Source organism: Homo sapiens, chromosome 16 (assembly GCF_000001405.40).
Source record: "Homo sapiens chromosome 16, GRCh38.p14 Primary Assembly".
In the NCBI taxonomy this organism is placed as follows: domain Eukaryota; kingdom Metazoa; phylum Chordata; class Mammalia; order Primates; family Hominidae; genus Homo; species Homo sapiens.
Window position 1 is genome coordinate 17489453 of NC_000016.10, and position 22914 is coordinate 17512366.

Here is a 22914-nt window from a genome sequence, read left to right on the forward strand (position 1 = left end):
AACACGATCCACACAAACGAAAATAAATGCTAAGTCTTGCATGGGCAAGTTGATATAAAATATAAATCTTACAAAAATCAATAAAATTAACTTCAAGTTCCAATATCAATAAAATATCAACAGCTTGCTTTTAATGGTGGGTGGAGGGGAAAAGGGAGATTGGATTAAACGAATGGAGGAAGGAATACACTTGAATGACCAAATGGAAATAAATACAAACATACACTCATATATGTATACAAGGCAGACATATACTTGCCTTAACATATATCAGAATATACCATAAAGTCAACTATAAACAAATAAATATGCTGCTAGTTTAGAAATAAATAGATCAATATAACAGAACTCAAAGACAATATTTGAATCTGGTAGGGAAATATGGTTTATTTGAAGTATGTTGCTAGCCCAACTGATTTTCCACTGGAAGAAAATAATGTCGGACTCCTATAATATACCATATATTAAAAAAACAAATCCAGGCTGGGCATGGTGGCTCACGTCTGTAATCCCAGCACTTTGGGAGGCTGAGGTGGGTGGATCGCCTGAGGTCAGGAGTTCCAGACCATCCTGGACACCATGATGAAACCCCGTCTCTACTAAAAACACGACAAAATTAGCTGGGCATGGTGGTACATGCCTGTAATCCCAGCTACTTGGGAAGCTGAGGCAAGAGAATTGCTTGAACCCAGGAGGTGGAGGTTGCGGTGAGCTGAGATTGCACCACTGCACTCCAGCATGGGCAATAGAGTGAGACTCGGTCTCAAAAAAAAAAAAAAATTTAAAAACATTAAAAAAAATTTGTGTTAATCTAGATGGAGTAAAATCTTAATGTAAATAAAACAACAATGGGGTTTTTTATTTTAAAAAATAAAAATATTTGGTTTAATCAACAAATGAATAAAGAAAATGTGGCATAGACATAGACACACACACACACACACACACACACACACACACACACACACACACTCCCCAGGGAATACTACTCTGTGATAAAAAGGAACAAAATAAAGGCATTTGCAGCAATCTGGATGGAATTGGAGACCATTATTCTAAGTGAAGTAACTCAAGAATAGAAAACCGAACGTTATATGCTCTCACTCTTAAGTGGGAGCTAAGCTCTGAGGACGCAAAGGCATAAGAATGATACATTGGATTTTGGGGACTCCAGGGAAATGGTGGGGGCAGAGTGAGGGATAAAAGACTACACTTTGGGGCCAGGCACATTGGCTCATGCCTGTAATCCCAGCACTTTGGAAGGCTGACACGGGCGGATCACCTGAGGTCAGGAGTTCAAGACAAGCCTGGCCAACATGGTGAAACCCTGTCTCTACTAAAAATACAAAAATTAGCTGGGCATGGTGGCATGTGCTTGTAATCCCAGCTACTCGGGAGGCTGAGGCAGGACAATTTCTTGAACCCAGAAGGCAGAGGTTGCAGTGAGCTGAGATCACACCATTGCACTCCAGCCTGCATGACAAGAGCGAGACTTTGTCTCAAAAAAAAAAAAAAAAAAAAAAAAAGAAAAAGAAAAAGACTACACATTGGGTACAGGGTACTCTGCTCAGGTGATGGGTGCAACAAAATCTCAGAAATCACCACTAGAGAACTTATTCATGTAATTGAAAAAAAACAATGAAGAATTCAGAGGTGATAGAAAACAAAAAGCAGCACTTTTGGAATATACTATGAAAGGAGGTAGTGGAGGTTATGAGAGGCGTCAGAAAGAAGACAATTTTGAACAACGTGAGCCCTATCAACTGAGGAAGCATGAGAAAGATGTGTAGCATAGTGGACCTGTGCTAAGATGTATAGCATAGTGTAGTGTAGCACAGTGGAGACTGGACTACCATTCAGCAAAGTAAAGGAATGAAGTACTGATTCACACCACTATGTGGCAAGTCTTTAAAACATCATTATGCTCAGGAGAGAAGCCAGACACAAAAGGACCACATGCTGTATGATTTTATTTATATGAAATGTCCGGAAAAGGCAAACCTATTGAGGCAGAAAGTAGATTAATGGTTGCCATGGGTACGTTGTTTGTTTTGGGGGTGATGGAAATGACCTAAATAAAATTAGGTTGTGGTAATGGTTGCATAACTCTATAAATACACTAAAGCAGGTGAGTTTTATGGTATGTAAATTATATCTCAATAAAGCCATGAAAATATTAATGCCACTACAGTTACATTTATTAACTATGCAAAGCATAGGATGTCCTATTCCACCAAGAGTATCAAGTACAGATTTTGTGTGTTTGTGTGTGAATGGGTACATACCATTTCAAATAGGTCAATTGTCAAAAATTGAAATGCGAGATCAGTAAACTGCCATCACCTAAAACTTCAAAGGGGCATGTGACTAGCTTAGCAAAGGTACACATGGCGATGAAACATGCCAGCTCTGGGGGCAGACCACGCTGGGTTCAAATCTCAGTTCCAAAACTTACTCCTTGTGTGGCACATGGCCTCAGTTTCCCTATCTGTAAAATGGAGAGAGGGTTGTTGTGAGAATGAAGTGAAGTGATGTGTGTCAATAACAGATAATCCTTAGAACAGAGTAGGACCTCAACAAAACTGATGGTGGTAGTGGTGGTGGTAGTGATTAGGATTAGAGTAGAGAAAGGATCAGAGGAGTCTTATGAGATGTATTTATTTGTATTCATTATTACCTTTTATTTATATGGATATATTTGCATATATGGACATTTTACTTTAAAATTCACAGTATTATCCATGGTAAGTTGTCATGTAAAAGTTCCAAAATTGTTAGAGAGACAGAAAATTGCTGGCTATTGCCAAAGTCATTTATATACTGGGAGGAAAATAGGTGCTATCTTTAAACTTTCTCATCAGTATACCTAGGATGCGGCGGGGGAAGAGGACTCCATTCCATTTGTGGTGTTGGAATCGCACCGCCCCCCACCCACAACGGTTCCTTTTACAGGCAGTGGAAACAGCTCTGAAAAGCTTGCTTTGGGAGGGACACCCAGCATGCTGAGATGTCACAGTGGTGCTCAAGGAAGCTATCATTCATACTGCTATAATCTAACACAGTGATGGGGTTCTGGGTCAGATAAGACACTGCTAATTTTTTAGGCCAAAGAAAGAGATGTATTTTTCTGTAGGCTGTTATGTGTTTGTTTAAAAATCATGTCATTCCAGCCTGGGCAACCTAACAAGACCCAGTCTCTCCAAAAAAAAAAAAAAAAATAGCTGAGCTAACAAGTACATCTGTTGCCCCATCTGTTCAGGAGGCTGAGGCAGGAGGATTGCTAGAGCCTAGGAGGTTGAGGCTGTAGTGAGCCATGATTGCACCACTGTACTCCAGCCTGGGCAACAGAAAGAAACCCTGTCTCAATCAATCAATCAATAAAACATAGAAAGAACTGTTTGGGGGTACTGGAAATGATATATAACCTTGGTTTGGGTGGTGGTACACTGGTGTATACATGTGTAAAAATCAGCTGAGCTCTATACTTAAGTTGCATATACTTTATATATTTTATATTTCAGAAACAGAGAAAGATCAGAATCTAATTCAAGGAAACATTCCTGTACACACAAAAATAGTCATCATATCTTATATGCAAAGATAGTCATCATAGCATCTTTGCAATAGCAAAACATCTGAAACAATCTAACTTTCAACAATATTGTCTAATGGTTAAGTAAATTATGGCATATCCACTAATTAGAATATTTATATAACTAAAATGTTCATGAAGAGTTTGCAAAAACATGGAGAAATGCCATGTCATCAAGTTAAACAAAAAAAATCAGGAGCTAAACTCCTTATATGTGATATGTAAACATAATTATATTAAAATATGCATAAAAATGATGACAGAAATGCCCCAGGCTTTAATACTGACCATTTTTCAGTGGTGAAACTATGGAGGATTTTCCTTTCTTCTTTCAAATTTTCTGCACTTATAATAAATAAATTTGGTTTTCATAATTGCATAAACATAACTAATACTTTTAAGTTTACAATAGCAAAAAGCAAACATTGGACCAGGAATCAATCTTGCAGTGATTAACAGCATGGGATGCTTGCAGCTGCAGACTTGGTGTCAGATGCTGGTCTTTTTGCTTTAAAAGGGCAGTCATTACTATGGCTAAAACCAATTTCGTAAGGAGATCACCATCAGGCTTGGCATTACAGCTCTGTTGAAGCCTCCTGACATACAGTTTTGAGATGCGCCTCCTGGTCAGAAAATAGTCGGCTATGTCCTACCAATTAAGGATTTCTCCTTCATCACCAGAATAAGCTCTTCGGATAACTTATACTTCCAAGCAGTTTCTGTGCAGCCAGCACTGGATAAAAATGCTATCACCAATGGAGTTTGAATCTCCCAAGATGACAATATATCCATATATAGTCATCCTCGGTGTCTGTGGGGGATTGGTTCCAGCCCCCTCCCTCCAATACTAAAATCTACAGGTGCTCACACCCCTTATATAAAATGCCATAGTATCTGCATGTAACTTAGGTACATCTGCCAGTATACTTTAAATCATCTCTAGATTACTTATGATACTTAATACAATATTAATGCTATGTAAATAGTTGTTATACTGTATTTTTTCACTTGCATTATTTTTTGTTATATTGTTATATATTTTTCCTGAATATTTTTGATTTGTGGTTGGTTGAATCTACGGATGTAGAACCCAAGGATAGTTCTAGAGAAGGCTCCTTTGTACCTAAATTTGGAGCATTCCAAGTATCCTCCAAAGCCTTCTACTACTAAAGGAAGATACACATTTTTGGGAGGAGGAACTTGGAGGAATTTGGGCTTGATCTTTGAACAAGATTGTCTGATGAAGACACAGATGATAGCAGCATTAAATATCCTCACTGCATTTATCCTTTAGTCAGCCATTTATTAAATATTTATTGAGAAGCAGAGCTTGCACTAAACTCCATTATTTTTAAGCTTACACTAGGGGTTGGCAAATAACTTTCATCCTGTATGCCTAATTTGATGGGTTGATAGTGGTGCTCTCAAATGCTCTCCTGGAAAAGATTCTGGGACAGGGTCCAAACTCAAGTGAAAAGAGCAATGATCGATTAGTAATGTCTCCCATTCTTGCAGAAAGGGAAATGGTGGTATATATGCTATGCTGGCCGGATATTTTTCTGCCAGGTTAATGACTGTCACTTAAGCCTTGACACACACTCTCTTTCCTTACAAGTTAAAGGAACCAAACTTCTATCCAAGTTAACATCACTGGAGAAGCACTAACAGAGGGGGAAATAGAGACATGTTTGTTAGCAATCTACTACATTCTAGACCTTGCAGAGTTCTCTTTACATATACTGAGTCATGTCATTTTTAGGATATCCCTTCAAGGTAAGCATCCTTATCTCCTTTTTACAGATAAGGACCTAGGCGAAGAGAAGCAAAATAACTTTTTGAAGTCTCACAATCAGACACAGCAGAATCACTCTTCCATCCAATGAGAAACCCAGGCTTGATATGGAACCAAGTAAGATAAGACAGTGTCCCCTTCTTTTCAGAAGGTTATAAAATTAATTCTACAAATTTTTGATAATTACCTGAGTTAAATAGGTCCCTTTGGAGAAGTATTCAATCCAGTTTGTTCATCAAGACAAAAGGAGGCACAGTCATTTCCACTTTCTCTTATTTTTTCTTTTTTTCTGAGACAGAGTCTTGCTCTGTCGCCCAGGCTGGAGTGCAGTGGCATGATCTCGGCTCACTGCAACCTCCGCCTCCCGGGTTTAAGCAATTCTCCTGCCTCAGCCTCTGGAGTAGCTGGGATTACAGGTGTGTGCCACCATGCCTGGCTACTTTTTTATTTTTTATTTTTAGTAGAGACGGGATCTCACCATGTTGGCCAGGTTGGTCTCGAACTCCTGACCTCGTGATCTGCCCGCCTCAGCTTCCCAAAGTGCTGGGATTACAGGCGTGAGCCACTGCGCCCAACCCATTTTCACTTTCTGCCCACTCCCATACAGGCAAGCACTAGTGTCCTTCAAAGAGGGTGGTACTCATATCATCCAAGCAGCAACATCAGAGCATTTTGATCCTGGATACAACTGCACACTCTATGGATGAGCTCCAGCAAATTCAACTGACCCTGTTTTTCAGTGTGGTTCAAATGTCTGTGATTATTTGGTGGAGCAGTCATGATCTCATAAAATTACATATAATTACAAATTTACTAAGTGCCAATTCCTCTGCTAAGGGCTCCAGCTGCACTATGGTGTTGCATCCTCACACTATCTCTGTGACAGAGGTAACATCATTATCCTGATTAGACACATGAAAAATATGAAACTTTACAGCCAAGAAACTTAGTCAAAGTCACAGAGCTAGTAAGGTAGGGCTGAAACTTCAGCCCAGGCCATCAGACCTCAAAGTCTATGGCTTAACTTCAATTTAAACTGTTTAATCAACTTCCAGTTCTGGCTAGTTTCCAGTAGGTCTTCCCTAGAGGAAAGGACACATATTTCAGGACAATAATTTCAGTGGAAGTTATATATTTGAGTAGAGATCTCAGGAAGCACCAGAAGAGGACTGGAGAGTGAGACAGGGAAGAGAAGGGAATTTATCTCATCAAGCAACTTACTCTATGGGAAACTGGAGTCCAATATTTCTTGGAGAACTCTGGGTAACAATGTACTAAATGTAACCCCAAAACAAGGGAGCTGAAGTATTTATACACCCTTTCTTAGTAGTTATTGGTTGAGATCTGCTCTCACAGAACATGAATTCCTTGGCACTTCAAGTCCGCCACACATGTGGAGAGAGTGGATGCTGGTGGCCAGAAAGTACCCTTAGGCAAAGAACCCTAGGACTGGAGGCCAAAGCCAGTGAGCCTATGTAGAAACATGAGGGCCTAGGAAATGTGGGCAGCAACAACTGCCAAAGTCTACCTTCACTTTCTTTTTAATTTCAATTTTCAATTTTTGTTTATTTTTTGTAAACAGGATCTTGCTCAGTTGCCCAGGCAGAGGTGTGGTAGTGCAATCTCAGCTCACAGTAACCTCGACCTCTTGGGATCAAGCGATCCTCCCAGCTCAGCCTCCCAAGAAGCTGGGACTGCAGGTGCATGCTGCCAAGCCCAGCTAATTTTTAAAATTTTTTTTATAGAGATGGGATCGCACTATGTTGCCCAGCCGGGTATCACCTCCTGGGTTCAAGTGATCTTCCCACTCAGCCTCCCAAAGTGCTGGGATTACAGGCATGAGCCACCACACCTGGCGCTTCTCTCTTTTAAATAAACAACTTGATGAGTTGATGGGTGCAGCAAACCAACATGGCACATGTATACCTATGTATCAAAACTGCATGTTGTGTACATGTATCCTAGAACTTAAAGTATAATTAAAAAAATTGAATTACTTACTTTAAATTGGTGAATGGTATGGAATGTGAATTATATCTCAATAAATGTGTCAAAAAAAAAAACAACTTGACTGAGGTGCAAATTATAGATCATAACATTTACCAATTTTAAGTGTATAATTTAACAACTCTTGGCAAATTTACAGAGTTGTGTAACCATCCAACATCATCTATTTTTAGGACATTTTCATCACCCAGTAGGATCCCACATACCCATTTACAGTTACTTCACATTTTCACTCCCAGCCCCAGGAAACCACTAATCTACTTTGTCTCTATGGTTTTGCCTTTTCTGGACATTTTATATAAATGGAATCATACAATATGTGGTCTTCTGTGTAAATAAGAAAGTCCCTCTCCAAATGGATAACACTGTAGAAATGAAAAAAAAAAAAAAAGGAGGGGGATAGGCAAGTAACTTCTAGCAAGAGACTTCTCCATATGGGAGGTGGGAATGTTCTAGATGAAACAAACAATGACTATAACGCAACTGGCAATGAAGAGACACCCCCTGATCACTGTGGAATCTCATCTTCCCCAGGATGCATTTGCATATACAAGCTTTTGAGTGAATGTATTTTGAAGGAATCTTTTGCATACAAAGGACTAGCAGGCAGCAAGCTGTGGGTTAAGAGGCTTTGAAGCCCATTAAACCATCAACCTCAACATGGAAATGAATGGGATCAAATAGTTTCTGATGGTTTCAGGAGCTGAAAAGGGTCAGTCTTTGGGAGTGACTGATGTACAAAGGGATCTCGGTTTCTTCTCAGGCTTGCCAATCCCTTTATACTTTCCCCAAACCTTGTACATGTTAATGAAATTGACACAACATTAATGGAAGGCAACTAGAGCAGAAGAGCTGGTCAACGGTCAACCACCTTGTGTCTCCAGGACAGCCATCTTCCAGGAAACTGAAGCCTCCTGTCACACAGACTTTGTGTCTGTTGGATAAAGTGGTTAAAATTCCCCATGCACAAGGCATAATTGGCTCATGACTAACCGTCTGCAGAAACAACCACTGATAAATGCAAATAAGATGTGGGATGTGGGATGTGGTCCACATCATCTCACACAAAACAGACTTCAGCCTCCTGCTGAAGGTCAATTTCTCCAAGCTGTTTCTGCTCCTTGATTCTGGACCAACCCATAGAGTAGAATTTTGACTATTGTCCCTCTGGGGATCCCTGTCACGTGCTACTCAGGAGCACCCATTTTTTTTTTCTTTTGCATTGTGAACAAATCGAGGAATAAGCATAACAACAAATGACTGGCCAAAATACCAGCTTTATTGTTGGTAATGCCAGGCCAGAAGGTAAGGCTTATACCCACAACCACAGTGTGTTTCCCTGATACATACCCCTGAGCCTGGATCCTCAAATCCGTTAAAGGGAAACAGCAGAAGAGCAGCTGCAAAGGAGCTAGTCTGGGCCCCAGGAGTAGAGACAGAAAGAAGTGCACGTCTGCTCCTCTCTCTACAAGGCCAGCACCAAGCCCTGACCCAGGCATGCTGATGCCACGTATGACACCCTCATCCAGGGACAAGCCCAGAGCTCCAAAAGAAAGTCCAAGGGACTGATGCCCTCCACCCTGAGATTTCATCTTTCCAATCTTTTCTTATCAGATACGTGATTTCTCCACTCTTGTAGAAAAGACAGGGACAAGGTGAAGGGAAGGATAGAAGCTTCCTTTTGAATAATTCCAGGAGGTAGAGGGTGTGGTGATGAAAAATTTATATTCTTTGGACTAATAAAAATATTAGATTAGAAAACAAGGGCCAGGAGTAGTGGCTCATGACTGTAATCCCAGCACTTTGGGAGGCAGAGGCGGGTAGATCCCTTGAGCCCAGGAGTCCAAGACCAGCCTGGGCAATATGGCGTGACCCCCATCTCTATAAAAAATAAAAAAATTAGCCAGGTGTGGTGGCATGCACCTGTGGTCCCAGCTGCTCAGCAGGCTGAGGCAGGAGAACTGATTGAGCCTGGGCAGTCAAGGCCATGATCACACCACTGCACTCCAGCCTGGGTGACAGAACAAGACTCTGTCTCAAAAAAAGAAAAAAATAGGCTGAGGTGGGCAGAGCACTTGAGCTCAGTAGTTCGAGACCAGCCGGGGCAACATGGTAAAACCCTATCTCTACACAAAATACAAAAATTAGCTGGGTGGGATGGCATGTGCCTATAATCCCAACTACTCAGGAGCCTGAGGTAGGAGGATGGCTTGACCCCAGGATGTTGAGGCTGCAGTGAACCTTGATTGTGTCACTGCACTCCAGCCTAGGGGACAGACCAAGACCCTGCCTCCAAAAAAAAGAAAAGAAAGAAAAAAAAGAAAAATTTGCCTGTAAGAGAAAAAATAACTTTCTCTCTTATCTCTGTCTCCCTGCCGATACACACATGTGCACATGCATGCACATATGCACAAACACACACACGAGGAGTTGAAGAACTTGGATTCTTGCCCTGCAAAGTATTCTTTCAGCCCTACTTTCCCATGATTTCAGAATCTATAAGAGCCTTATCTTAGAATCTACCAGCTGCAGAGTATGCTGTTTGTAGATGCCCTGTCTATCTCTGCTGGTGCTTCCAGTAAATGTGTAGCCAGGACTTGCCCACTCAAGCCTCCAGGGTTCCAGCAGGTAACCAAAGCTAATGGAAGGGGCCAGCTATAGGAGAAAAGGCAGCACTGGGGACTTTGGTGACCTGGAGAGCACAGGCTGCCCCACTCCAGCTTATTACTGTCCTGCGGGAATGCAGGCTCACTGTTGCCCAATCTCTCTGAGTCTCAAGAGAAGGAAGCCATTAGCATTTATTTTTGTGTGCAAAATCCTTAGCTGTTTAACAGCTGGCTCTGTTTTTAAAAACATTGCTTGTTTGGGCCAAATGAAATGCATCTGCCAACTCCATTTAACCCATGGTCAGCTGCTTGTGATTCTGGTGTAGAATGGCCACATGGGCAATGACATCCATCCTTCTGACATCCTGGGCCAGCCATGGAAGGAAAAGTAGAAATTTGCTGTGAGGGCATTGGTTAGGATTAGTAGTCCCCAGGGATGCTCACTATTGCCTGTGGTAGTGTCTCAAACTCCACCATTAGAAGTGTATTCCCTCAAGGCCGGGCTCAATGGCTCCTGCCTGTAATACCCAGCACCTTGGGAGGCTGAGGCAGGCGGATCACCTGAGGTCAGGAGTTTGAGACCAGCCTGGCCAACATGGCGAAACCCTGTCTCTCCTAAAAAATACAAAAAATTAGCCAGGCATGGTGGCGGGCACCTGCAGTCCCAGCTACTTGGGAGACTGAGGCAGAGGAATAGCTTGAACCCAGGAGATGGAAGTTACAGTGAGCTGAGATTGTGCCATTGCACTCTAGCCTGGGCAACAGAGCGAGACTGCCCCCCCAAAAAAAAAAGTTTATTCCCTCGAATCCTCAGGGATTATCTATGTCCAAAGTCCCCAGAGGACTGCAAGTGTCCCTGAGTCATGTCCCACACTTTGGGAGGCAGAGGCAGGTGAATCCCTTGAGCCCAGAGGTCCAGTCCACTTCCAGAGGACTGCACACATAAAACTGTGACATCAGCTTCTGGGGGCTGTTCTTGTGGTCATCCCGTGCCCACCTTGGAGACTGTAACAGCATCCCCCTACCCTCAACACTCAGACTCACCCTTAAAAGCATTGATAAATGGCAGATTTTAGTACAGTTTTCTTGAGAGATGGAGCAGAGGCTGACAGGGTCCTGTGGACATAAAACTTCCTCCTAATCCCCTCTGAATATTCCCCATTTAGAATGCCACATGCAGGATTTAAAAAAAAGTCTCCCTTCTTTTTCCTTCTTAGGGAAAATGCTCCCTCTGACCAATACCTTCCAAGAAATAAAAACACAAGTAAAATCCCCCCAGCCAGTGGCTTCTCCAGCCAAATTGGTCCCGTCAACCTTCATATACCTTCAGGAAAGCAAACATCTGCTAATTTCATACTGACAGCCAATATCTATGGAGCACTTAATGAGACGGGCACTGTTAGTAGCACTTCTCAGGTACCTACCTATATATGTATGTATAATTATTATTTCCAATATACAGATGAGAAAATGAAGGCACGGAGAAGTTAAGTACCTTGTTCAGATCACAGCCAGGAAACAGAGAAATGGGGATTGGAAGTCAGGCAGTCTTACTCCAGAGTCTGTGCTCTTGAGACAAGGTTGGCAAATGTGTTCTGTAAAGGCCCCCATAGTAAATATGTGTAGGCCATACCATCTCTGCTGCAACTACTCATCTCTGCTGTTGTGGAATAAAAGCAGCCATAGACAATATGTAAGTGAAAAGCCGTGTTTCAGTGAAACGTATTCACAAACATAGGCAGCCAATCCCTGTTCTTGAGACAGCATGCTGTACAGGGGGACAAACCTCAGACTGGCTGGGCCCTGACCCCCTATTCTTCCTTCTACCACTCACCTTCCTCTACCACCAATAGTAATAGCAACAGCCACAGCATTTGTAGAATGCCGGCTTGAGATGGTCATACATGATAATCATATGTCAGGGTAGGATTAAGGGACCATGATTTATCTCACCACCCATTAGCAGGTATGATGGTTAATTTCAGGCATCAACTGGAAGAACGCTTCTGGATGAGATGAACGTTTACATTGAGGAAAGAGGATTGTTCGTCATATTGTGGCTGGGCCTCATCTAATCAGTTGAAGGCCTGAATAGAGCAAAAGTCTGGGCCTCTACAAGCAAGAAAGAATTCTCCAGCAGGCCGCCTGCAACTTCACCTGTACCATCCTCTCCTGAATCCCCCACCTGCCAGCCCACAGATTTGGACTCAGCCGCCTCCATCATCATGCGAGTCAATGGCTCATCATAAATTTCCTTCCGTATGTATGCGTATCCTATTGGTCTGGTTCTCTGGAGAGCCCTAATACAGCAGGTAAGGTCGTAGCTAGATGGTTGAGGATACAAAACTGCTTGGGAGTGGGGAAAAGGGTGACAAGTGCTAGAAACACATAGCTGAGCACCAGCAAAGAAGTTGGATGACTCCAGATGTCCTCTCCCTGGTTTCCCTAAGGTTTGGCTCAGGTCACTGCAGTCATCTCTCCATGGAGCAGTCTATCACCCCAGACCACTGCTGGGCTGAAGCAAGCCCAGGACAGCATTTGCTGTCTGACTGGCCCTGGGTCCCTGGTTTGTTCCATCCAAAGGGGTATGGATGATAGGGTAGTATAAATGCCTCCTGTTGCCATAATCTCTTCCTTCATACGCATTTTTAAAAACTATTTAAAAAAGAAAAAGAAAAGTAAAGAGAATCCACTCCCTGGCCTTTTTCAGTTTTACCTTTTTTTTTCCTTTTTTTTTTCTTTTTGAGACAGTGTCTCACTCTATTATGCAGGCTGGAGTTTTTTTTTTTTCTTTTTCTTTTTCTTTTTGAGACAAAACCTCACTCTATTACGCAGGCTGGAGTGCAGTGGCATGATCTTGGCTCACTGCAACGTCCACCTCGGGCTTAAGCAATACTCCTGTCTCCACCTCCCGAGTAGCTGGGACCATAGGTGTGTGTACCACCACGTCCAGCTAATTTTTTTTAGAGACAGGGTTTTCCTATGTGGCCCAGGCTGGTCTCAATTTCCTATGCTCAAGTGATCCACCCATCTCAGCCTCCCCAAGTGCTGAGATTACAGGCATGAGCCACCGTGCCCGGCCCCTCCACACACCTTTTAAAGTAGTATTTCTAAAGCCAGCTTGTCTGTAGTTGCTGCATTCCATTACTCCACACTTACAGGCAAAATACCCCAAAATGGCCTGTAATCCCAACAGTTTGGGAGGCTGAGGCAGGCGGATCACTTGAGGTCAGGAGTTGGAGACCAGCCTGGCCAACATGGTTAAACCCTGTCTCTACCAAACATACAAAAATTAGCGGGATATGGTGGCACATGCCTGTAATCCCAGCTACTTGGGAGGCTGAGGCAGGAGAATCGCTTGAACACGGGAGGTGGAGGTTTCAGTGACCTGAGATCATGCCATTGCACTCCAGCCTGGGCGACAGAGTGGAACTCCGTCTCAAAAACAAGCAAACAAACAAAAAACAAAAATAGAGAAAGAAGAAAGATGCCAGGGAGAGAGATAAGAAAGAGAGAGACCAGGGGAAAGTTGAAGACAGACCTGAGATGGGGAGATAAAAAAAAAAAAAAGAAAAGAAAAGGGAAGAGAACCAGAGCTAAGGAAAGGAGAAAGGGAATAAAAAACAGAAAGCAGGAACACCAGAGAGATTCATAAAGAGAGACAGAGAGAGAAAGGGAGAGGAAAGGAGGCAAGGGAACAAGAGACACAGAGAGGACATGAAAGGTAGGGAGAGAAGCCTGCAGAGAATCACAAAAAAAAGAAAAGAAAAGAAAGAAGAATCAGAGGATAGAGACAAAGATGAGAGAATGAACAACCTACTCAAACAACAAAGGCTTTTGAGTACCTCTAGGATTTCTCAACTTCAGCCTATTGATATTTAGAGCTGGATACTTTTGTTGTTTTTTTTTTTAGACAGAATTTTGCCCTGTTGCTCAGGCTGGAGTGCAGTGGTGCGATCTCAGCTCACTGCAACCTCTGCTGCCTCCTGGATTCAAGCAATTCTCATGCCTCAGCTTCCTGGGTAGCTGGGATTACAGGTGCATACCATCACACTCGGCTAATTTTTGTGTTTTTAGTAGAGACAAGGTTTTGCCATGTTGGTCAGGCTGGTCTCCAAATCCTCACCTCAAGTGATCTGCCCGTCTTGACCTCCCAAAGTGCTAAGATTAGGATCATGAGCCACTGCGCCCAGCCTGGATACTTTTTTTGCGCTGGGGACTGTCCAATGTCTTGAAGGGTGTTTAGCAACATCTCTGGCCTCTACCCACTAGATGCCTGTAGCACCACCTCCCACAGTTGTGACAACCAAAAATGTCTTCAGATATTTTGTAAATGTCCCCTGTGGCAAAATCACCCTTTGTTGAGAGCCACTGAGTTAAAGGGATGCAATTTTTCATGCTTTTCAGAGCTTAAATTATATATAACCAAGGGAATGATGGGCCCATGGCAGACAGAGAATACTTAAAGCCCATTTTCCTGGAGCACTAATTGTCCTTGATGGTATTTTAAAGCATTATTTTTACATGAAAACAAATGTGGGTATATTACAGAGTAGAATCTCAAATTTAAGGCTTGGAAGAAATTTTATGTCTGAGGTGGGGTGATTTTGGCTATACTCCCAGAATCCTTGGCAGGTACACATTTACATTTCTCTGCCTTGGAGGAAGCTAATAATAGCTACCATTTATTGAGTGCTTACAGGGGCCAGGAGCTTTAGAAATTATTTCCCATTTGATCCTCACTGGGTGTTTATTATTAATCCCATTTTACAGATGAGGAGACTGAGGCCCAGGGAGGTCGTGAAACCCCATTCAAGTACTGACAGTGACTAAATGATGGAGCTCGCATTGGAATCAAACAAAGTCTGTCTCACTAAGTATCTGCCAAAAAGCTTATGGGAAGGAAAAGGTGAACAGTGATAAACCACCAAAGTCAATATCCTAGTGCTAATCAACAGGATGGCTTAAGAAAAAGAAAGGCTCTGTTGAAACTGGCAAACTCTTAACTTGTCTTGGGTGGAGAGGGAGAAAAGGGGATAGGGGTTGAAAATGAAGGGATTCCCGAGGTAGGCACCACCCCTCAAGTAGGAAATAGTTAATCAACTTGACAGCATCAACTTGAAACTCCAGGCTGGGCATGCTGGCTCATAACCTCTAATCCCAACTTTTTGGGAGGCATAGGTGGGAGGATCGCTTGAGGCCAGGAGTTTGAGACCAGCCTTGACACAAAGTAAGACCCTGCCTCGACAAAAAGTTAAAAAATTAGCCGGGTGTGGTGGCTCCCACCTGTAGTCCCAGCTACTTGGGGAGCTAACGCAGGAAGATCACTTGTGGCCAGGAGTTCGCGGATACAGTGAGCTATGGTTGGACCACTGCTCTCCAGCCTGAGCAGCAGAGCAAGACCATGTCTCAAAAAACAAACAAACAAAGAAAACAAAACAAAACAAAACACCTAAATCTTAGCCTGAGATCCCTCATGCAATCCCCAGCTGGGACATCCCTCAGGAAGTTTCTTTTCTTATTTTATTTTATTTATATTTTTTATTTATTTATTTATTTATTTTATTTTATTTTATTTTTTTTATTGATCATTCTTGGGTGTTTCTCACAGAGGGGGATTTGGCAGGGTCATAGGACAATAGTGGAGGGAAGGTCAGCAGATAAACAAGTGAACAAAGGTCTCTGGTTTTCCTAGGCAGAGGAACCTACGGCCTTCCGCAGTGTTTGTGTCCCTGGGTACTTGAGATTAGGGAGTGGTGATGACTCTTAAGGAGCATGCTGCCTTCAAGCATCTGTTTAACAAAGCACATCTTGCACCGCCCTTAATCCATTTAACCCTGAGTGGACACAGCACATGATTCAGAGAGCACAGGGTTGGGGGTAAGGTCACAGATCAACAGGATCCCAAGGCCGAAGAATTTTTCTTAGTACAGAACAAAATGTAAAGTTTCCCATGTCTACTTCTTTCTACACAGACACGGCAACCATCCGATTTCTCAATCTTTTCCTCACCTTTCCCCCCTTTCTATTCCACAAAACCGCCATTGTCATCGTGGCCCGTTCTCAATGAGCTGTTGGGTACACCTCCCAGACGGGGTGGCGGCTGGGCAGAGGGGCTCCTCACTTCCCAGTAGGGGCGGCCGGGCAGAGGCGCCCCTCACCTCCCGGATGGGGCGGCTGGCCGGGTGGGGGGCTGACCCCCCCACCTGCCTCCCGGTCGGGGCGGCTGGCCGGGTGGGGGGGCTCCTCACTTCCCAGTAGGGGCGGCTGGGCAGAGGCGCCCCTCACCTCCCGGACGGGGCGGCTGGCCGGGCGGGGGGCTGACCCCCCCACCTCCCTCCCGGACTGGGCGGCTGGCCGGGCGGGGGGTTGACCCCCCCCACCTCCTTCCCTGACGGGGTGGCTGGCCGGGCAGAGGGGCTCCTCACTTCCCAGTAGGGGCGGCTGGGCAGAGGCGCCCCTCACCTCCCGGACGGGGCGGCTGGCCGGGCAGGGGACTGACCCCCACCTCCCTCCCAGACGGGGTGGCTTCCGGGCGGAGACGCTCCTCACTTCCCAGACGGGGCGGCTGCCAGGCGGAGGGGCTCCTCACTTCTCAGATGGGGCGGTTGCCAGGCGGAGGGTCTCCTCACCTCCCAGACGGGGTCTTGGCTGGGCAGAGGCACTCCTCACATCCCAGACGGGGCGGCGGGGCAGAGGCGCTCCCCACATCTCAGACGATGGGCGGCCAGGCAGAGACGCTCCTCACTTCCTAGATGGGATGGCGGCTGGGCAGAGACGCTCCTCACTTCCTAGATGGGATGGCGGCCGGGCAGAGACGCTCCTCACTTCCTAGATGGGATGGCGGCTGGGCAGAGACGCTCCTCACTTTCCAGACTGGGCAGCCAGGCAGAGGGGCTCCTCACGTCCCAGACGATGGGTGGCCAGGCAGAGACGCTCCTCACTTCCCAGACGGGGTGGCGGCCGGGCAGAGGCTGCACTCTCGGCACTTTGGGAGGCCAAGGCAGGTGGCTGGGAGGTGGAGGTTGTAGCAAGCCGAGATCACGCCACTGCACTCCAGCCTGGGCACCATTGAGCACTGAGTGAACCAGACTCCGTCTGCAATCCCGGCACCTCGGGAGGCCGAGGCTGGCGGATCACTCGCGGTTAGGAGCTGGAGACCAGCCCAGCCAACACAGCGAAGCCCCGTCTCCACCAAAAAAATACGAAAACCAGTCAGGCGTGGCGGCGCGCGCCTGCAATCGCAGGCACTCGGCAGGCTGAGGCAGGAGAATCAGGCAGGGAGGTTGCAGTGAGCCGAGATGGCAGCAGTACAGTCCAGCTTTGGCTCGGCATCAGAGGGAGACCGTGGAAAGAGAGGGAGAGGGAGACCGTGGGGAGAGGGAGAGGAGGGAGGGGGAGAGGGAGAGGGAGAGGTAGAGGGAGAGCTATATTTTTTATTATACTTTAAGTTTTACGGTACATGTGCACAATGTGCAGGTTTGTTACATATGTATACATGTGCCATGTTGGTGTGCTGTACCCATTAACTCGTCATTTACTTTAGGTATATCTCCTAATGCTATCCCTCCCCCCTCCCCCCACCCCACAACAGGCCCCGGTGTGTGATGTCCCCTTTCCTGTGTCCAAGTGTTCTCATTGTTTAGTTCCCACCTATGAGTGAGAACATGCGGTGTTTGGTTTTTTGTCCTTGCAAGGAATTTTCTCTTCAGCCTCTGACCTATGGATTCCTCGTTTCAGCAGTGCCTATGGCTGCAGTATCTCCCCACCTCCCATCATCGTAGGACCATCGACCCAGGCTGTCACATCCATGGACTGCTCTCTCTGATTTGCTCACTACTTTTGCTGCTTTAATGAACTCAGTCTTTTACAAAACATATTTATTTAAACGAAAAGGTTGCTTTTCCTTACCCTGACCAGATCACTAGAAAAATAAATGCAGCCATGCACAGTGGCTCACGCCTGTAATCCCAGCACTTTGGGAGGCCGAGGGGGGGTGGATCATTTGAGGTCAGAAATTCAAGACCAGACTGGCCAACATGGTGAAACCCCATCTCTACTAAAAATACAAAAATTACCCGGGCATGGTGGCGCATGCCTGTAATCCCAGCTACTTGGGAGGCTAAGGCAAGAGAGTCGCTTGAACCCTGGAAGCAGAGGTTGCAGTGAGCTGACATCATGTCACTTCACTCCAGCCTAGCAAGAGAGGAGACTCCGTCTCAATAAATAAATAAAAGGGAAACTTTATATCAGTATCTGAAATGAAAAGTCTGCTTTTCCATACCCTGACTAGATCACTAGAAAAATAAATGCAGCTGGGCACAGTGACTCACACCTGCAATCCCAGCACTTTGGAAGGCCGAGGCGGGTGGATCACTTGAGGTCAGGAGTTCGAGAGCAGCCTGACAACATGGCAAAACTCTGTCTCTACTAAAAACACGAAAATTAGCTGGGCATGGTGGTGGGCACCTGTAGTCAGCTACTCAGGAGGCTGAGGCAGGAGAATCACTAGAACCCGGGAGCCCAAGGCTGCAGTGAGCAGAGATCGTGCCATTGCACTCCAGCCTGGGCAACAAAGGCAGACTCTATCTCCAAAAAAAAAAAAAAAAAAAAAAAAAGAAAGAAAGAAAGAAAAAAATGCAATAAAAATAAACAAGGCTAAAACAACAACAACAAAAACAAACAACCAAGGCTATTAAATTTAGTTAGTTAGCTAGACAGCTGTCTTTGTTCAAAGGGGAGACTTGTTAGCTTTGGAGAAGTGTTAAAAGTCCTTAGCACCGAGCCAAGATGTTCTTGGTGCAGTCAGAGTAACTGAAAGAGGTTTGAAAAGGGAATCACTTTATCTGGATATAAGTCATCGCTGTTAGTGTCAGGTTATACCTGGCGCCATCATGCTTCAACGATGGTATGTGTCTCATACCTGAGGAAATACCGGTATGGGGCTCGTTATGGGTTGAATTGTGTTTCCCAGAAAGTCATACCTTCAAGTCCTTGCCTAATTGAGGGTTCTCAGTATCTCAGATCATGACTGTATTTGGAGAGATGACGTTCAAAGAGGTAATTAGGTTAAAATGCGGCCATTAGGGTGGGTCTTCAGTCTTCATTCAGTCCAACTGGTGTCCTTCTAAGCAGAAATGTGGACATGCGCCAGCAGGGACACACACAGAGGAAAAGCATGTGAGAACATGGTGAGAAGGGGGCCAACTGCAAGCTAGGAAGAGAGGCCTCGGGTGAAACCAACCCTGCTCTCACCACCATCTTGGACTTTTAGCCTCCAAAACTGTGAGAAAGTCAATTTCCATTGTTTAAGTCTGTGGAAGTTATGGAAGCCCTAGTCAACTAATACAGGGGTTCCCTGAGCCCCCACATGCATTCCAACAGAGGCAGGAGAATAGGGTTTGGAGACCAGGAACATAAGGACTTCCTAGAACTAAATCAAATGGAAACACTTCAGCTGTGATGGGAAATATCTTCTCCATTTACACAGGGCGTAAGCCAAATAAATGACTTTGTAAGTTTCCTCCATCCTCTTCATTTACATAAGGCATACACCAAGTAACCAATGGAAATTTTGGGGGGTATTTAAGCCTCCAAAAATTCTGTAATGGGGCTCTTGAGTTCCTGTGCTCTGGCCCACCCCCACTCTGTGGAGTGTACTTTAGTCTTCGATAAATTCTGCTTTTGTTGCTTCATTCTTTCCTTGCTTTGTTTGTGCATTTCATCCAATTATTTGATCAAGACACCAAGAACCTGGACACTCTCCACTGGTAACACAACCATCTGGATTTGAGTCCTGCCTCTGCTACTTCCGAGTTGTGAGACGCTGAGCAAGTTACTCTACCTGTCTAAGCCTAGGTTTCCTTATCTCTAAGTTAACATTCCAGTCTGCATTCTGTGTGAAAGTTGGTCTTAGAATTGGGTCGTTCTTGTTACAGCCAACTAAAACAGAGTCAAGAGGCCAGGAGGAGGAAAAAGCAGTCAGACCACATTACATGGCTTCCAGAAAGTAATTCTTGGAAAGCCTGGCTGCTGGAACTGCCTGCTGGAACCTGAAGCCAGTTTTATCTAACAGCTACTGGAAAAACCTGCTGTGACCTTAAGACAAGTTTTGCCCACTGCCATCACTCACCAAACAGAGTTTGCCAGCTCCCACAGCCTTACCCTTGCCGATGAACTTTCTCAAAAAACAATATGTAACATTTCTCCTTTTCTAAAATGCCTCTAAACTTCTCTTTGTTCTTTGGATGTACTAAAGACCACCTGGTCTGCATATATGCTCTGAATTGCAATCCTTTCCTCCCAAATAAAACATTTTAATTTTAGAGATTCATCTAATATTTGACTTCCACATATGAAATTGTTAACAATATACACAACATATCCAAGGTGGTTAACAAAGTTTCTGGCACAGAGTAGGGCTCAAAACAACAACAAGACCGGGCATGGTGGCTCACACCTGTAATCCTAGCACTTTGGGAGGCCAAGGTGGGTGGATCACTCGAGACCAGCCTGGCCAACATAGCAAAACCCCGTCTCTACTAAAAGTACAAAAATTAGTGGGCTGTGGTGGTGGGCGCCTGTAATCCCAGTTACTTGGAAGGCTGAGGCAGGAGAACTGCTTGAACCCAGGAGGTGGAGGATGAGTGAGCAGAGATTGCAGTACTGCACTCCAGCCTGAGTGACAGAGCGAGACCCTGTCTCAAAAACAAACAACAAACAACAACAACAAACTACTATGATAACAAATGTTGGCATACTTCCTGGCCCCTGTAGGTTTGAAGATGGTTTTATCTCCAACAAGGTAAGAGGTAAGGATCTTGGTACAGTATCTTGGATGCTGTACTTGGTACTAGGGACTAAGGGCTCCATCTTCAACACTAACCAACTATGGAGGCACATAGCAAACAAAATAATCAAAGCTCTAGCTTCTTCACCAAAGTAACCCAGATATTTTAAAACCACCCAGCTTGTGTCTCCTGTACTCTTTCCCCATTTATTCCTCTCTCATCAGGACTGGCCTGTTTCACTGTCCCCTTGGAAAGCTTTTCAGCAACTTTTTGACCCTCCGTTTAACACCTCTACCTCTCAGACTCCTAAAGCATCTTACCCAGGTCTCACTGCCTGTAAATCCGCAAAGCCAGGCTTTGAACCCAGGCTTCTGTGATTCATCACACATCCCACAAGTGACAGAGAGATGCAGAGAGCTTTCATTTGCCAATAATAATAATTAGTCACCCATTACATATAATTTATAATCATTAATTATAGTGATTCATATAATGATTAAGTATAATGTGAAGTTCTTGCCTTCCACACTAAGGGTGGTTATGGCTTCAGTTAGTGGAACACTTGCTCTGCGCCTGCCGTTCCCATGTGTCATCCCATGGATTCCTCTCACCACTTCTTTACAGAAATTATTTTATAACTCCCATTTGATACACAAGGACACTGAAATGTAGGGAGCCCCATGTCACCACCAGCACATCCACTGCTTAAGAGACTCTGGGAGAGATCAGAGGGTAGACAGGGAAAAGATGAAGATGATGTTAGAAGGCAGCAGGGGACCAGACACGGTGGCTCATGCCTAGAATTCCAGCACTTTGGGAGGCCGAGGCAGGCAGATCACTTGAGCCCAGGAGTTTGAGACCAGCCTGGCCAATATGGTGAAACCCTGGTTGTCTCTACTAAAAACACAAAAATTAGGTGGGTGTGGTGGCGTGTACCTGTAGTCCCAGCTACCAGGGAGACTGAGGCAGGAGAATACTTGAACTTGGGAGGTAGATGTTGCAGTGAACTGAGATTGTACCACTGCACTCCAGCCTGGGCAACAGAGCGAGACTCTGTCTCAAAAAAAAAGAAAACAAACAAAAAAAAAGAAAACAAAACAAGAAAGAAGGCAGGAGAGGGAATGTTTTCCTCACCTCCTCTTGAGTCTCCTCAGCAGGGCTATGGCCTCCAGATTTCTCTGCTTTAGGAGAGTCAGCTAATCCTCCACCCTGGAGGGAGGACAGTTCATAAGGATCACTTAGTCTTCTCCTGATCTAATCCAGCTGGGTTAGTTTGCTACAACTGCTGTAACAAAGTCCCACAAGCTGGGTGGCTTATGCAACAGAAATTCATTATCTCACAGTTCTGGAGACCAGATGTCCAAATCAAGGCATCAGCAGGATTGGTCTCCTCTGAGGGCTATAAGGGAAGAATCTATTTCCAGGCTTCTCTCCTCATCATGTAGATTGCTGTTTTAGTCTGTTTGGGCTGCTATAACCAAATACTGTAGCCTGGATAGCTTATAAACAAAGCAATTATTTCTTGTGGTTCTGGAGGCGGAGAAGTCCAAGATTGAGCCATGGGCAGATTCATTGTCTAATGAGGGCTTGCTTCCTGGCTTGAAGACAGCCACCTTCTTGCTGTGTCTTTGGACATGGCCTTTCCTTCATGGGTGCTTGTGGAGGGAAAGAAATACCTCTCTCCCTTGTCCTCTTCGTATAACGGCACGAATCCCATCATGAGGGATTCACTTTCATGACCTCATCTAAACCTAATTATCTCAAAGACCTCACCTTCTAATACCATCAAACTGGGGATGCAGGCATCCAACTGTGTCCACATCTGAATTTGTGGGAGGAGGCACAAACATTCAGCTCATAACAATGGCCATATTCTCCTTGTCTCTTCACACTGTCTTCCCTCTCTGCAAGTCTGTTTCTGTTCAGATTTCCCCTTTTTATAAGGACACCAGTCTTATTGGTTTAGGTTCCACCCTGATGACCTTGCTTTAACTTGATTACCTCTTTAAAGACCTGTCTGCAAATAAGGACACATTCTGAGGTGCCAGGGGTTAGAACTTTATATAAATTTGAACACAGTTCAACCTGTAACACCAGTCACATGGGCATGCATCTCAAGTTTAATGA

The 22914-nt window shown here is 44.7% G+C and overlaps 1 annotated feature.

The window, feature by feature from the left end:
- Positions 7746-8345: an enhancer, noted in NCBI's record as "OCT4-NANOG hESC enhancer chr16:17591055-17591654 (GRCh37/hg19 assembly coordinates)". NCBI's record gives its function as "activates a minimal SCP1, AML or CMV promoter by ChIP-STARR-seq in naive and primed H9 embryonic stem cells {active_cell/tissue: H9 hESC(naive and primed)}" and the evidence as "EXISTENCE:reporter gene assay evidence [ECO:0000049][PMID:30033119]".